At 33.7% G+C, this 18,312-nt stretch overlaps 1 protein-coding gene and 1 long non-coding RNA gene across 8 annotated transcripts in view; one reads left to right on the top strand and one right to left on the bottom strand.

Moving 5' to 3' along the window:
• Positions 1-18,312, top strand: part of TRDN (triadin) — a 420,612-nt gene that overhangs the window by 86,452 nt on the left and 315,848 nt on the right. For all 6 annotated transcript variants that reach the window (NM_006073.4, NM_001407315.1, NM_001251987.2 and 3 more), the window contains exons 3-4: positions 1,887-2,045; positions 3,127-3,159. In NM_006073.4, coding sequence (NP_006064.2) covers positions 1,887-2,045; positions 3,127-3,159 — 192 coding nt within the window. The remainder of the gene's footprint in view (positions 1-1,886; positions 2,046-3,126; positions 3,160-18,312) is intronic.
• Positions 1-18,312, bottom strand: part of LOC105377982 (uncharacterized) — a 51,063-nt gene that overhangs the window by 19,983 nt on the left and 12,768 nt on the right. Inside the window, exon 3 of one of the 2 annotated variants that reach the window (XR_001743833.2) lies at positions 10,201-10,294. This is a non-coding gene — a long non-coding RNA (uncharacterized LOC105377982). Of the gene's footprint in view, positions 1-10,200; positions 10,503-18,312 lie in introns of those variants that run through there. The other variant, XR_001743831.2, reaches the window with a different exon arrangement.

Genomic DNA, 18,312 nt, shown 5'->3' with positions numbered 1-18,312 from the left:
ACTCCACTGAAATTGCTCTTTGAAGGTCATGAGTGACATCCTCGTCATCCAATCCAAAGGTCCATTCTCAGTCTTCAACTTTCTTGACCTATCCATAGCATTTTCCAGTTGATCACTCTGTCCTCCTCAAAAACAATGTATTAACCTGATATCTGGTGCATTACACTTTCTTGGTTCCTTCTCCCTCTCTCTTTCTTGCTCACTCCTGCTCTGCCTGTCACTCTCTCTGTCATCTCCCCTCTGAATCCATTGTTGGCTCCTCCCTATCTCTCTGACTTATCTCCCTGACATTTGTTAAAGTGTCTCTGGGTCAACTTCCTTGGTGATCTCACTCATTGTTATGGCTTTGATACCTTCTGTCTTCCGTTGGATTCTGAAGTTTCTGTTTTCAGTTAGAGCTTCTCTTTTGTAAATCATGTTGCATTACACAAATGTCTACATCTTGATGTAAGTATCTAATAGGCAACCCAAATTTTGAAAGTCTAAAACTCAGCTACTTTTCTACTCCCAACCCCACCCACACCCAGCAAGAATCTTGTTTCTCTCCAGTCCTCCCCCAGCTCAGAGCATTTCCTTCCTTCATTCTAGTTTCTCACACCAAAAACTTAGAAGTTATCCTGGAATTCTGTCTTTCTCTCACATCACAGCCACACTGGAAGCTTCTACTATTAATTCTGTCATTGAAATACATTCAGAATCTGATTGCATCTCACCACACACACTGTTACCACCCTGATAGAAATCATGATCATCTTTCTCTTGGATGATTTCAGTTGGCTTCATACTCATCTCCCTGTTCCCAGCCTGGCACCCTTTCAAACTTCAACACAGTAAAGGAAGTCAAATCACTTCATCTTTCTGCTCAAATCTTCCAATGACTTACTATGTTAGTCACAGTAAAAGCCTAATTAGATGTACTTAACCTTTAGGTAGTATAATACATTGATATAATTCTCATCTCTTAAATATATCAAAGAGAGAAAAATCTCTGAAAAGCTAAAATAGTTTTTAAAATTAAGGAAAACACAGCTCTAAAATTTAATTACAGCTTGATAAAAAATCAGATGCAATTTATACCATATTTCTAGATAGATCACCTCTGTAATCACATCCTAAAGGCTATGCTTGCCTCTTCAGAGCAGTTTTCATATGATTGGAAGAATAAAATTTTGGAAATCCCTAATATATTTGTTTGCATTTTTTTATGATTCAATCTTTCATTTAGCAAACATTTTATATCTCCTAGGACATAGAAAAGGGAAGACTTATAGATTCTATCCATTGAAGTTACTAGCAGTTCAAATACTTTTTTATTTCATGTACAGGGATGACTAAGATAAATCCAACCTATTCCAACTAGAGCTTGATATGATCACTAACTTGACTATTCCAGATTCTTCCTGTGGTATCACAAATTAGAATAAATGGGCCTATCAGTCTTAATTTAGCCACAACTACCTTAGTCAACTTGCAGAACTTGTTATTTGTCTGAAAACTTACAGAGTCATCTTTTCTATAATGCTGTCCCATACAATATGTGCTGAAATTATTTCTTCCATTCCTGAACATCCATAACATAGGGTTTATTTGCACTCTGGGTAACATAAATACACATTATTTTAATTCATTCCTAATTTTTTTTCCAGTGCTAACTCTTATTTGGATTATAAACTTCCCAAGGGCATTTTCTTTCTTGGCATGCATGCATATTATAGCAAGATGAAGTTTCTATTTCTGCGCAAAAAATTGTAGCCAGGAGATATTTAGAATGTTGAAATTGACATATTCTTTTTGTCAAAACAACAAATCAGTAAAAACAGCTTTTCTTAAGTTATTTGGAAATGATCACAAACTTTTTCTTTTTTTTTTTTTTTAATTACTTTTAGCAAGCTCTATTGCCAAGATTGGCTCAGATCCTTTAAAACTGGTACGTGATGCTATGGAGGAAACCACGGACTGGATCTATGGCTTCTTTTCTTTGTTATCTGACATCATCTCATCTGAAGATGAAGAAGATGATGATGGTGACGAAGATACTGATAAAGGTACAAAGAACATAGAGATATATCTAACTGCTAGGAGCAACATTAAATATGTATTATAGTGGCTTGCCTCAGTTTAAATTCAAATGAGCACTTGGGTCAAGCTAAACCAAAATGAATACACTTCTGACTGCTAAAAGCATATCAACAGGCTGCCAAACACAGTAAATTGTTCTTTATTTAATTTTCATCTTATAGCTTATCTACCATTATGGCAAAGATGTCAAAATTAAATGTTAATATTAATGTAGCATTACAGCAAAGGGAGTCTCATTATGCTCTGCTATAAAACCACAATACAAACTCACATTTATATGCTTCTTTGGAAAAAATAGTTATTTTTCAAGTTTATCTCTAGGAAGATTAAAATAAAAACAGTAAAACTAAAAATACATATAAGTGTTTTATACACATATGTCATATTTATAGTCAAATAGCAGAAAGCAATCTTACTAAAAGTACAATCAAAAGAGTAAATTTATTGGACCAAATGGTGGTGTAGAATAGAAGGACACATTCTAAATGTCCTAACAATTATGCAACTAACCTATGTGCTCTCTCATATATATTAATGAATAAAAGGAAATAGCCATCTCAAACCACATAAAAGCTGCCATTGAATGAGTATGAAAAGAACAAAGCACTGTGATTCCATCTATTAGATAACACTTTTTAGGGTCAGTCTTAGTCATCAGAAATCATGTATTCAGCCTTGACTACCAGGAAAGCTTTTATTATTAGAGTATTTTTATAACTTTTCCTGAAATTATATTTGTTTTGGCCCCAGTAAGAGTTCAACATGAACAATAGAGAGTTGAAATTAATATGATATATAACCTATAATGTATAATTTGGATCACTGCCACAATTTTATTGAATTCATAAAAATGAAACAATCTTATATAAATGTATATAAACAAACTTTATACTTAAAAACTGGAATTTGGGAAGCAAAGTAATGTAAAGACTATGATTGTTAAAACTAATAGATTTTTTTAAATAAACAAAAGGGGAAAATAATGATGTCATATTATTCTATGCTAAAATATTTTCTAACTTTGTTTTTCTTTTAATCTTGGTCTAGGAGAAATAGATGAGCCTCCCTTGAGAAAAAAAGGTTAGTTGTTTTCACCTTTGATAATAATTATTTTTCTCTTATGGTAATATTGGTTTTCAGCATGGTTCAAATATATTTTACTTATTTTAATATAAAGGTTTTGTTTAATAATTAGGTCAAGATTTATAGTCAGAAAAAAAATACTCAATTTCTTTTCCAATGAAGGTGATCTCACTACTTTTCTGTTGATTATTTTTTAAATGCCTTATTCAGTAGATTTGTATGGATTCATTTATACACAGACCAATATGAGCTGGAATTTGAGGAATGAGGGGAGAATTCTGTAGCCTTAGAAATGGCCCAGAAAATGACACCCATGATTTATTCTCACCATGGTCAGATTTATTGATTTTAAATGTTTATTCTTATTCTTTTCCTTTTATTTTTTTTGCCATCATTATTTTGCATGTTAGGTGATGACTATGGGCCAGGACAACAAGACGGTGAGGGACATAACAGCCTAGGAGGCAAAGGCATATCCAGTTGGTATGTGTGATGTGTCACTGTCATGGAGTGGAGTTACCTGGATGTGCCTGGATGTGCTGTAGAGGAATTACTTGCAGGAATAGATAAGGTGACTGAGTGAAGTGGTCACAACCTGAATGATAAGAACGATAAACCTAGGACAAAGGAGGACAGCAATGGGGCAGGAATTTCAGAAGACAGAGATTTTGACAGGAAGGGGTAGGAACTGCATCTGGAAGGGGCACTGGGGAGCAGGTAGTACCATCTTGAGGTACATTTGTTGTGAGAAAACAGCCAACATTCAAGCCAGACTTAAAACAATTGCAGTGTTTTAGTTACTGCTACACATGGGCAGGCTGTTGAGGGTTTACCCAGGAAGATAACCCTGGCTTCTGTTGCTCTCTCCTAATACCTACTGTGGATTCAAACAATGGGATCCAAACTTACAGTTTCAGCCTTCCCTGAGAAAATGATGACTACCCCACACTATCTGGGGTAAAATCCACTTAGTGTATGTTAAATTAGAAACTTTGGATTTGTAACTTACACAGCAAAAAAGAGCTAAGCCAGTCAAACTCAACTATGGCAAAGGCATCCAGAAATGAAAGTGTTTATAAAGCTCTGTGAGGAGAAAGGAAGGGTTTATACACCTGCAAATCCAGAATGAGAACTCAAGTACTCAAGACAGACTTCAGCCATCAAATCCAGGTTTAGAGATTCTAGATTTGTCTATAAACTTCAAGAGATTTATAGCTGATTTCCCATAGAGAGTGAACATAGTCAAGCTTTAAGTGAGTTATTAGTCATTATCTGGAAATAACAGCTTATGCACGTTTATTTTCATTGGAAATGGAAGAAGGGAAAACAGATAAATAATGTTTGCTCATTTATACTTATAAACTGAATTCCATAAGACTATTATAAAGCCATGTTTTTCATAAATTGATATTTACTATTTAATAAAAAATCTTTTCTTTTGATTTAAATTTTTCTTTGAAATTATTTTAAAATTAAGCTTCATATAGTAATTAGTATAAACTGCAAATTCATACAAAGCTGTTTTACTATTGTTTCTTAAATTATTTCCTTGATTCAGCAAATCAAATTTTTGCCAGAAAAACTATTAAATAGTTGTTTAGGGTACTTTTAAAAAATGTTAGAAATGTTTATTAGTCAAAAATAGTCTAAGGGATATATGTCCTTCAACACATGTGCACTAATGTCCTTAAAGATTACATACTCAGAATTAGGAGAATTGACTTTAAATCACCTGAATATATTTTCTTAATAGTATTATTCACACAGTTACATGAAAAAAATTGACATTTAAGTAAAAATCTCAGATGCTCTATCTTGGGTACAGAGGCTATGTAATAATAAACCTTAGTTGAAAGTGAATTCAAGAAGATCTATTTCATTGTAATTATTATTTTTTATGTGTAAGCTTTTCTTTCATGGAAGTATAGAGGCAATGAGAGCTTTAAAGCAGTAGGTAATATTTTATAAAACATTTATAATACATATTCTACATTTTAAGTATACTTTTAACATTATTATTGGGGAGAAATTCTATAAATTATTCTTGTCTTATAAGTTATTTTACTCATGTTTACATTTACAAATGTTGGTTTAAGAAGGAATTTGGGGGCAATGTAGAATGATAGTCTTTTAAAACATTTGATTTTTACACATCTAAATGACTCTTCATTAATACCCTTCTCAATTCATATATATTCAATAATATTTAGTCATTTTTTATTGCCTAAATTATCAGGCTGTAGCATTTTTTTATTCAACTGCCCTATATCTACCTAAAACATTTTATTTGAATACACTTAGTTTTATTTGTTGAGTTACTGCTATTCTTAACAAAATAAAAATTCAGCCAGTTTGTTATTTATGGTTGAAGTTTGCAGTTTTTAATTTGGTATGGAATAATGGTGTAGTCGACTAATCTCAGGGTTGCAGTATTGATTATTAAACAGATTATTAATATGGATGAAATATTTGATTCTGCTAGCCTGTGGAATCTGTTGTTATATATAAATATAGCTTCAGGGTATTACATGTAGTACCTAGTGTCTTTATATTCTTCATGCATATTTTTCAACTTGTCAAAATTTTAAAATACTAAGTTCTATTACTAAACACTTCATGATGAGACCCCAAGGCACTGAATCTTTAGAAAATACTATATTTTATTACATAGTTGTCTAAAAATTATAAGTATGAAAACCAAATACTGTTATAAATCACATTTTCGGAAAAAATTATTTGTTGTGTATAGTGGTATACTTTGCACATCTGGAAGTGTGCTTTTAAGCAATATTTTTCACACCAGGGTATACATCATGGATCTGTTAGCACCTCACTTTCTAAGGGGTATAAAACTGCAGAGAGATTTAAAGGAATTGAATGTCATTTGAATGTTTTCCTAAAATTGATCTGCTTGAGAGCATGCCCGGTTTATAACCGTACTATTTCCACTTCAAATATAAATAAATCTGTTGTTGGTTCTTTGTGGTATTCAACGTTACTTGGAAGGAGACAAAAAAATTAAGTAACATTGCCCCAATAAGACTGTGTGTGTGTGTGTGTGTGTGTGTGTGTGTGTGTGTGTGTGTGTGTATGTACAGATGTGCATAAGGCTTCTCAATACTTGTATCTTTAAAAGTAAAATATAGGGTTAGATTTATTGATGAACGCTGTCTCATTCTAACTGTAAAATACATTAATCCACAGATAGGTGATTTTAAAGCTCCATTCATTCGATGGCATTCTAAAAAAAATTCATTTTTCAGGTTTAATAATAACTTATGAAGATTTGCAATATATTAACCTTTAGATTCTTAGATTCTTATAGTCTAAAGGTTAATATATTACAGGATGTGAAATCACAGAATATGGAGGAAATTTAAAATTTTCAATATGTACACTTTTTTCCTTAGAGAATCATAATGTAGCTCTTGGGTAAAATTTTCGTGAGAGAGGTGGAATGAAAATATGAATTCAAAGAGAAAAGAGAAAGATGAAAACCTTCCAAATGTTAAGAAATAATTTTTTGATAAATATTTTAAGTTGATAATGACATCTAAAAATATTATAGTGTTTGGAGTCCATCAACTCAGTTTTTAAAAGGGATATGGCAACTTTATTTTTAAATGTCAACATTTACAATAATCTATAAATTATATCACTTGTAATCCTTCAACTTATGATGAAAAATTTTAGAACTTGTAGGAAGGGATGCAGAGTTTTGCAAAATTTCTAAGAAATATAAAAGGGAAAAAATTGAGCATGATTGTAATAGAAAATAAACATTTTGCTTTCTGGGTAACTCCTAGGTTTCTGAGTGAGAGCAAAGCACAGAGGTCTAAGATTCACGACGGTACAATGTATATCCTTAGCTAATCACTAATACAGAATTCGGACATGTTTTATGCCTTCTGGGATTAAACTCAATCAACAAATGTATTTTTTTCAATTAATCTTTTTCAAGTGTTTTCTATGAGCCAAGCAATGAGCTGGTGGAAGAGAACATGTACTATTTGCTTACCACATTCCCAAAGACTAATGATGAACATTTATTAAATAAAATAGTAAATGACAGTAATGGAGTTTTGATGTGGTATTGCTAGCATCAGGATCAATGCAACATGTTATTTTATAGCTTACGTAATTGCAAAGGTGTAAAAGATCACCTTACTTAGTAAAATGTCCTGCAAATACCACAGTTAAAAATTTAATGAATACATGATCAAATAAGGCAGTAAATAAGCTAGAATAGTTGGGGCATTGTATATTTGATAAAGAAGAGGGTAAATCTTTATATGATGTTATTAATAAATTGAACTGAAAGCATATGAAAATGTGAATAATAGTAATGATATCTATTTTTTAGAAATATAAATTTTAATTCCCTTAATTATTCATAAAGACCCAAAGTTAAAGTTAAAACCAGGGCCAGACGCAGTGACAGACAGACAGACACACACACACACACACACACACACACGCAAACATGCACACACTCAGAGAGAAAGAAAAAGGGAGGGAGAGAAAGAGAGAGAGCGAAAACCCAAAAGTCTTAAAGCAAAGTTAAAAAATATATGTTTTTTTCAGCATAGGTATCTTAGTGTTTTTCTCTATTTATGTTCAAAGATAAAATACTGGTTTATGACTGGTTTATTTTACTAATAAAATACTGGTATTAACACTTTTAAGTGCAACTTAACAGATACACCTATCTCTATCTCCTTTTTACAGTTTATTCTCACTTAAACCTCCATCTATAATATATCTGTATATAAGAATAATAATTACAGCATTTATATCCTTTGGAATATGTAATTTTAGAAGATAATAATAGGCTCCTAACAAGGAATTAGGTTTTGTAATGTCTTTTCCTGACATCTAGCTTTAAAGTTAAGAAAGAATAATCGTAGTCATTCAGAGTTATGCATATTTAGTTTTTTGGACAGGAGAAACTGATCTTTAATTTTAGGACCATGGTGGCCTTATGGGCTATAGGTTTATCTCTTGCCTTAGAGGAAAACACCAGAAGCCAATCTACATTATGTTTAATTTCCTTTCTTGCTAACTACTTTCTCTTTGAAATAAGAAATTGTCCTTAAGGATAAGCTAGACCCAATATAGAGGATGATGTTCTATGAGATTGTACTTGATGCATGTCAATGGCAGAGGAAGAGATTCCTCACTTACAGCAAAACAAATTACAATTCCCCCTATAGTCGCATGTTTAAATTTCCCTAAAGCTCTGCAAGTTGAAAAGAGCTGCCTGGTAAATTTTAACTCAGTTCTTTCGTTGTGTATTTTTCTTACTTTATTACAATCCACAATAGCTCTTGCAGTCTGAGCGAATGAGAAAGAGCCAGAAAATTTAAGCATCATAAATATTCAAGACTTTAGGATTAGGCCATTCAGAAGGTTGTATCATGTCATCGGGAGTAAGATGGATAGACGTATGTGTGTGTCAGAGCTTTCATTGCATCCATCTTTGCCAGCAGATTCAGTGGTTTACACCAGGCTGAACATTAAGTGTCTGAAAAATACGGTGCATGAAAAAAGGAAGGAGAATGGAAAGATGACTAAACTTGTTAAAATTCATAGCCTCAGAATATTGGTTACTAGGTAGCCCTAGTAACATTGTTAAGTATACATTTATCTTTGGATGTCTCCTCTAAATAAATCTAGATCAAAGCTCATCTCCATAACTGCACCATCGCATATCGCTCTCAGGCTGCATGAGGAGCTTAGAGCTTTATCTTCTACCTGTCTTTCCCAAGCATGGAGCAGACCTGTGATGGGGGTGAGAGGGGGACAAAGCCCAGAGAGAATAGACAGTAGGTATGGAGGTTGGCTCAAAATGAAAAAGGCTGAGGAGGGCGAGATCAAAGGAGATTTAGGATCCAGTCACTTCTCCAGGTAGTTGCTAAGAAGTAAACTCTGAGCCCACTGACTCAGGCAGCTGTAGTACTTCGTGCTACTAAAAGAGCTCATCTTTGTCAAGGCACGCAAAGTGACCCAGGATGAAACAAATAATGGTGGGTCAAACCAGAGCCTGAATTAATAGGCCAAGGAAAGCAAGAGATCAGGTTTTGGTGCCAACATCAGAAGGAATTAAAAGAGTCTCTGAGGCAACTCAACTCAGGCCCAACCATTTTATGTAGTTCTTCTGGAGCAAGAATAATTTCATTGGTGTTATATTTCTACCTGTACCTAAGATGAGTAATAGAGAAAAGGATGTGAGGGGGAAGCTGCTAGGTCTAATGTATTTCAGAATCTTCTCTCTGCAGTTCTGTATGTTTCCTGTTTCAAATTCAAGAGAAACTAATGTGCTAGTTGACTGCAGATGGCTTAAAGTTTTACCTATTTTAAATTATAGATTTTCATTTAGAAAGGGTCTGTTGAAAAATAAAATAAACAACAACAAAAAAAGCATAACAGAAAGCTTACCAATGGTTCTCAACTTTGTGTGTCAGATTCAAGTGATGTCTTAATTAGAACTCTTTTGCTCATGAGAGACCAAAATCCAACTCACATTGGCGGTGGCTCATGCCTGTAATCCTAGCACTTTGGGAGGCCGAGGCGGGCAGATCACGAGGTCAGGAAATGGAGGCCATCCTGGCTAACAAGGTGAAACACCGTCTTCACCAAAAATACAAAAAATTAGCCAGGCGTCGTGGCGGGCGCTTGTAGTCCCAGCTACTCGGAGGCTGAGGCGGGAGAATGGCGTGAAGCCAGGAGGCGGAGCCTGCGGTGAGCCCAGGTGGCGCCACTGCACTCCAGTCTGGGTGACAGAGCGAGACTCAAACAAACAAACAAGCAAACAAAAAAACACTTTTTCTGTTCAAGTGATTAAAAGGCATAAATAGAGTTGGCTTCTGAAATGACTTGATATAGTTTTTTTTTTTTAATCATGTTATTAGTAAATCCTCTTTCTTCACTTCTGGAACCTGCTTTCCTTCCTCTGTTTCATTTGTTTCAGTCTCAGGCAGGCTTTTCTCTCCTAGCAGCTAGTATGGGACCAGAAAGTTGAGGCCAAAATTATCTTACCTTAGCAACTCAGTAGAAGAGCCTGTTCTCTTCCTCAATGCCTCTGCGAAAGCATCTGGTTCACTCCCATTAATCTGGATTTAGTAGCATATCCCTGTTGGAGCCAATCAGTTGGACAGAGAGAAGAAATATGCACTTTATCAAGGCCTATGAAATGGGCCCCCGCCCTTGGAAATGAAGGGTGGGTTAGCATGGGGAAAAAAGTGGTTCCCAAAATTAAGAGGAATATTATCAGGAATACTGGATTCTAGCAGGAATGCCACAAATGTCTACATCATCTAATTTTTGTTTCTAATTCAGAATTCTAGATTACCTCCCATCTCCGATTTGCTAAATAACAATCTGTAGGGGTCAAGCCTTAAATAGTTGAATTTGTAACATCTCCACAATGGTATTCTAACTCACAATCAGAGTGAGAGCCATTGCAACCCAAAAGAGTAATGCTATAAATAGGGAATTTTATGCATCCTGAGGCCAGTGAGTTAGACAGTCAAAGATAAATGAATAACTGCATAATTTGTTTACACACAATGGCTAATGTATATAAATCTACTGTTAACAAAATCCCAAAACATGAATGATAGGATGCAAACTAAGTTAATATATATATCACTGTCGCATTGACCTAAGCCATTGGAATAACTATTGATAGTTGATGCTCATCATCTGAACATATCAAAATTTTAAACATGACAGATAAGCTTGAATGAATGCAACAAGGAGGTATTGGTATTGTTTCCCTTTCTGCTGTTAACCAGCTATGGTCAAGTCACTTCAGTGGCTCTCAGTTCTCACACCTGTAAAACAAAACTGCCAGATTTACTGATGTCCAGGTCTTTTCTAGCTATGATATTTTACGATTCTATGATTAAACTGTGATGCCATACATTGATAATTTTATCAAGAGTTTCATCTGGACTAGAGCTTTGAAATTCAAAGCATGGCCCATGGACCAGCAATGTTAGCATCATATGGGACCTATTTAGAAATGCAGAATCTAGGCTCCATCTAGACATAATGAATTAAAATCTGCCTTTTAAGATCCCTAATGACTCTTATGCACATTAAAATTTGAGAAACATTGATCAAGACAGTAGTTTCACTTTGGACTGTGGTTCTGAAATTACCTGAGAGTTTATTTAAATTGTAGATCTCTAAAAATTTCCTTGTCATGAGAGACAAATTAATAACATTTGAGTAGTAGCTCAGGAATATGTTTTAAAATCTCCCCAGATAATTCTCATGTACAGACACATCAGTCTTATCTAGCACATCATCAAATATGAAACACGCTAACACAGCCAAAATCTTACTCAAATCTCCAAATCTGCAAACTTCACCATTGATAATCTATAAAAGGTATTATTTGCAATCATTTGTACTTCTGTCTGGTTTATGTACACATGGGAAATGATATCTCATTTATAGATGGAGAAAATAAAATTCGAAGAGAAAAAATGAATTAACCTGAGATAACAAATTTAATGGCAAAAATGAGATTAGGTAGATATCATCTTAGTATATTTATTTTGAAAATTTTTAAGGATCATTAGTATACAGTGTTGAATCTATTATTTTTTCTGGAAAAAGTTCAGCTTATCTTACCAAGTAATCAAACACGATAAAATAAAGATCCAAAATAATTTACATTTATGGGCTTCAACATCTCTGAAAGAAACTGTTCTTAATATCTTCTTATCACTGTATCTGGAGTGGTTGCCCATTAAGTCATACACATACTAGGTGCTTCAAGGGGGAGAGAGTATTCCTTTTTATAGTCTTCATTAATGGTGAGTAGTACGCTTTCCCCAGAAATATTTGTTTACCAATCAAACATAAAAAGTTTTAGAAAATCAAAGAATATACAGATATTTACGGATAATCTGGAATATTTATCTAAAATATTAATAATTCAGCAAACAGCTGTGTTTGGCATTATTTAATTAGCCACTAAATAGATAACAAGATTTGCTTGTTCATCTGTTACAATTAATCTGTTGTGCTCTAATAACAATTGGCAGATTCTTATAAAGATTCTATGTTTAAGTGAATAAATAATTTGTTTTTTTAATATTAAAATGGGAAATAATGTAAGAAGGCATTTTATTTTATCTGGTGCTTGTGAGGTATCTAGAGAAAACATAATGAGAGGCATTCTTTGAAATACACAACCCTTATAATAATTTAATAAAGAGAATTGTCATCTTAAAAGAATCAGGATGATTGCCTTGATGACAGAGATTATTCTTTTAACTTCCTGAATCTGCCATTTGAAAATCTTCAATTGATAACATTTTGAATTTATTAACAGTTTGCCATATTAATAGAGAAAAATTGCATGCTTTAAACTGGCCATGTAAGTCTTAGACAAAATTACAAACTATCTGTCTACTCAACAGCAAGCTTTGGTATGATCATAAGTAGATAAAAACGATCATAAGCAAAACACATGTAATATAACAAAACAATTTAGAAATACGTCACTACAAAATCAGCTCATTCACAGGAATCACTGATACAATCTATTTTCACTGATTTTTGTTCCATTGGTTGCTGCTACTACCAGCCTTCTCATTTTGAATGCCTGTGGCCTTTCTTCCCAGTTACATATGGAAGTTGAGCTCAGAGAGTCTGGGGAAAATGTATTGGCCTGATGATTACCATTGGCACTGTGGTAGACATAGACCTTATGTAAACATTTTGACAGAATTAAACGGCCTCATGAGGAGGAAGAAAAACTAATGAAGTGAATCTTCACTTGGAGTTTGGTGAAGTTTTAGAGATTACACCCTTTGAGTAATTGTATGTTCCTATGGGACATTCAGCACACGTCATGAGAACAAGAAAATTCTCCATTATACTTGAAAACTCTAACTTGGACTACCAAGAGGATCATTAAAATCTATCCTTGTCCTCTCAAATGTCCAGCATAAATATATTTAGTAAATGGCTAAATTTTGTAATTTCTGCATGTAGAATACCATAAATATAGAGACAAGTGTTATAAGACAAAATAGAATGTAGATTATCCTACCCTAATCATTAATAAGGAATGCTAGAGAAATGTAATAATATTAAATCTGCAGAACAAAGGGAATAGAAATTTAAAGTTCCTTCCTTTAAGCTCGGTTTTAAATCTTGCTCTCAATTTTTTTCTGTTGAAATAGTTATATTTTATTAACATTTTATTATAGGCATAATATACTTACTTATAGTTTATCTAGTTTTTGTATGAGCATCTATAAATTTTGAAATAAAGCAATGTTAAAAACATGCTTAATGTCCTTAATATAATTACAATTTAGCTTTTCAGTGCTCTAGAAAAAACAGTACATGAAAAAATTTCTGAAATATAAAAAACTTTCAATTGTTGCAGTTGTTTTTCTGTTTTCTCTTTTATTGTTCTATTTATTTTGAGACAGGGTCTTACTCTGCTGCCCAGGCGGAAATGCAGTGTCACCATCATGGCTCACTGCAGCCTCAACCTCCTGGGCTCAAGGGATCCTCCTGTCTCAGCCTCCCAAGTAGCTGGACTACAGTTGTGCACCACCACACCCAGCTCATTTTTATTTATTTATTTATTTATTTATTTATTTATTTATTTATTTATTGTAGAGATGGAGTTTCACCCTGTTGCCCAGGTTGGTCTTGAATTCCTGGATTCAAGCAATCTGCCCAACTCAGCTTTCCAAATTGCTGGAATTACAGGTGTGAGATACTGCACCTGGCCAATCGTTGCAGTTTATAAGTACCTTTGGCATATCTTATTTCCATAAGTAGTAAAATCTTGCAACTTTCCCTTGTATTTCTAACAGAAATTTAAAATATTTAGAAATAAAATATTTTTTCAAATTTTCAAGTATAATCATTTTAGTAGTTAAATAGTATTTTGAAAGTTGTATCATAAAAAACAAGTAAAATATGATCCATCACCACCTTCTAAAATATGCAAGAATTGATAACTCATAATCATGGTTGAATATTTTTTCAAGTAGTATGCATTTCTCAAGTGGCTAGTATATTCCAGTCATCATGTTAGGCATTGAAAATTTAATGTGGAACAAAATAGACATAATTCTTGCCCTCATCAAATTTAGTTATTTAGTGAGAGAGACAAATAATAATAATAGATGGCATTCACATGATGCTTACTTGACACAAATGATGCTCTAAATGTTTTACATTTTAACATATTTTAATCCCCATATAATCCTATCTGGTAGACACTACTGTTAATCTTATTTTATGGATGAGGAAATGAAGTTCACACAGCTAGTAAGTATGGAAATCAGATTTGAATTGAGCAGATTGACTCCCGTGTTAATTATCTTCAACATTAAGCTGTATTTTAATGGATGTCAGAGATGCACATATTTTTGTATAGATCTTTTAATAGTTTTATCTATGTCTACATTTTCCTATCAAAATGCATGATATTTTAATTATATTAGTATACTATAGATTTATAACATCTTTCATATGAGGATTATTAAAATAATTAAAATAATTCTTTACAGATCATCGGAATCCTGAAATAAAGAATAATCTAAAAATGTGACTAGTTTTTATTTATTCTCAACACCATAATAAATTATTATAACTCCTCCTCTGTTTGGCATTGTACTTTGGAAAAACAGTCTGTGTGAGGAAGATATATTTCATTGCTATCGCCATTGAATGATAAACCATGAAAGTCAGAGTTTAAATTCTCTGAGTTCCTTAATGAAAGAAAGTTGTAAATGCATTTAAAGCCCAGTATGATAATGTTTTCTTTGGATTTCAAAAGCTTTTAGTCTTGGAGTGAGAGATGAATAGCGATAAGGATCTAAGAGGAGATACTACTTTTTCCTCCCTTATCTTCACTCATACCTCCCTACCAGCCACCAGAAAAGTGTTAGGGGAAAGTCAGGAGTAGTAAAAGAAGTAGAAATACACTTCCTACATTCTTTGAAATTAATTTGCCCTTCTCTTAAATCCTTCAGTGCCCTTGAAACCATTACTGACACCGGCAACTTTAGTGGAGTGCTAATTCTTTCTTATTAGGCAAAGCTACCAGTGACTCAGTAGAATAAAGGGATTTCCCTTTGTTGCCTCCTAACACATTAAGATAATTGTAACTTTTTTTCCGTGTCTTTTTCCCTTCTTCCCTTCTCAAAATTCAAATAGAAACTCATACCTTTAAGAATTTATGGGCAGACTCACACGTGGATTAAGATACTTTGACCTCTGTGCTTTCTAAGACACAAAACAATTTTTAAGATTTACCGGTTACAAATATGGCTTATGATTCCAACTAGCATCTGGTGCTGAGACTTAACACCTTTTCAGAGACATTGGACATCCACCTAATTGCAAAGGACATATATGTGGAGGTAAATAATGACTGCCTTGCCTTTCTTCTAAGTCTCTTGTATCCAGGTTTGGTTCAGGTTTAAGTAAAGTGATCCTCAAAAGGTGTCATGATGTTTAAGTAAAATTTTATGCTATTATACATTATTTCATGTTATATTAAGTGGAGACATTCACCTATCTTTGCAAATTATTAAATAACCAGAAGCTAGTATTAACATAATATAGAAAACTTAATTTTATTTGAAGATTGTTGGACAATAAATTTCTACCTTTAATGACTCGAATCTTTTAAATTTGATTTTGCAATTTATACAAATATAGCCTTAGCTGGAAAGAGCAATCAAAGGTAACAAATCAGGCATTGCCTCCCTATGAGAAAAATACCTTTCCAAAGTCTAAATTAGTAACATGTTACTGAATTGGACAGGAGCTTGAATAGCATCATTTCCTGGCTAAAGTGTAAGGAGACAGAACTGGCACGCCATGTGGAGGCTTTACTGGATTCTCCTGACAACAGATATCAACAGTCAGTGACACCAGTGATGGAATCCAGTCCCCAAAGAGAACGCAAAGTTGCAATAAAACATGCAAAGAAACATTTAATTTCTCCTTAAGTCTGAATCATCAGAAATAATTTTTTGTCTTCCTGAGCAAATAAATGTAGGTGTGTGTATGTCTTTACTAGTTCTGCTGTGTTTTGCCATGCTTGCCTCTGTAGAAATATTAATATTTCAGTTAAAAATAGTTGATAATGTACCTGTAAAACAAAAATCTGCCTATGTAAGTTTGTATACTTTATTGTGAGCTCTAGAGACTTTACTGTGTGTGTATCTTTTTAAAAATGGTTGACCTCTGCTTGCAAAACAACTGCCTGCATCTGCCCACAGCAGTGAGGTTGTCTTAGTTTGTTCTAAGGCTGAAGTGCAGAATCAGGAAAATAAAAAATGAGGCTTTCCCTGTGAGACTGATCTAAGTTGTAGAACTGGGTTGCATCTACTCTGCTTACCATAGAGTAAAAAATAACTGCTCTGAAATAAATTGCCATTTTTTAGTCTAATTTTCCTTTATTTATTTTTATTTTTGCTTAAGTAAAACTTATTATGAAGCATATCCAACATGCAAGTACTTACCTTTCACTTTAGAGTTACCTCCCTTTCATGTATTTGGGAAAGGGAGATAATACATTTACCCTAGCATTTCCCTTCTCCTGAGTGGTGGTCTTGACCCTAGTCTTTGAGATTTGTCTTTATTTCTTTTTTTCAGGATGGTCCCTTGCTCATTTCAGTTACTGCTACTACCTAGCACTCATTTCCTTTGTCAGGATATGTCTGAGTACACAAGAGCTAAGAGGAGCAAGGTAGCTCCTGCTAGTACTTCTTTCATCTGTTTTCTGATGTGCAAACTTACACCTACCTTGCAGGAAACCCTACTATGATCAACAAGGACCGTCTTTCTAGTCCCCAAAACCACCACAACTCTGTCCAGTCTTTTCTGCAAAATCTAAGTTAGAGTAGGAGGCTCTGACAGGATTTTTTCAGGCAAGATGGCCTTCAGCACTGGATTCTATGGAAGAGTCTAACCCACGTCTTATTCTCCCGTGTGAGCTCCAGAATCCCTTCTTTATTCTTTTGAATGGTCAGCTGGTATCTGTGGAAGACATACATGTATATATACACACATATGCACACACCCCTACCTCTAAAAAAAATATTATTCTAAATGACAATTTTAAGGCCTCCCCATTACATGGTGAATGTAGCATTCCATGCAATTTTTCAATTTTAAAAATTTCATGCCATCTCTATATTCCAATTAATACCTACTAGGAGTAAGGAATGATCTCTTAAAGGCAACTCCCTTAGTACGTCCAAAGACCAGTCTAAATCTTTGATATTTTACTTGCTTTATGGACCTGAATTAAACAAATCACCAATCTTCTTCACAGCATCTGTTGGCTTGGAGACGAGGGAGCAAGCAAAACAGTATTGACAGGAGAGAATATCAAGTTTGTTTTTTCAGTTCATTTGAAATCAGTTTGTCTCTGTGGATGACCTAAAGTTTTGTAAAGGTCCTTTGCTCCCCCTGGGATTAGACGTGCCTTAGACCTGTCTAGTAGTAATATAATAGGAGTCACATATGTAATTTAAGATTTTCTAGTAGCCACATTTAAAATAGTAAAAAGAAAAATATAAAACTAATTTTAATCATATATCTTATTGAATTCAATGTATCAGTCAGGGATTAAACAGAGAAGTAGAACCAGTAGAAGATTATGGAGATACTTTTATACTTTTAAAAAATTATTACAAGGAATTGGATTATGCGATTGTGGGAACTGGCCAGGCATTTTTGAACCCATATGACAGGAAGTCAGGAAGGGAGGATCACAGGCAAGTTGAGCCTAGAAGCTGTCAACCAAAGTTGTCATTCACAGGCAGAATTTCTCCTTTTGCCCTGGGCAATCTCAGGCCTGTTTTTAAGGCTTTCCAAAGAAATCAGAGAAGCCCATCCAAATTATACAAAATCTGCAAAATCATCTTACTTAAAGTCAACTAATTAGTGATTTTAATTACATCTGCAATATACCTGCAAGCGACTCTAGGTTAGTATTCGATAAAATAACTTGGGATAATAGCCTAGCCAAACTGAGCCAATAATAAAACTATCACACCCAATATGACCAAAATATCATTTCAAAATGTAATTCATATAAAAATTATTAATGAGGTATTTTACTTATATTTTATTCTAAGTTTTTGT

This window comes from Homo sapiens, chromosome 6, assembly GCF_000001405.40.
Source record: "Homo sapiens chromosome 6, GRCh38.p14 Primary Assembly".
NCBI lineage: Eukaryota > Metazoa > Chordata > Mammalia > Primates > Hominidae > Homo > Homo sapiens.
This window is presented reverse-complemented; position numbering and strand designations above follow the sequence as displayed.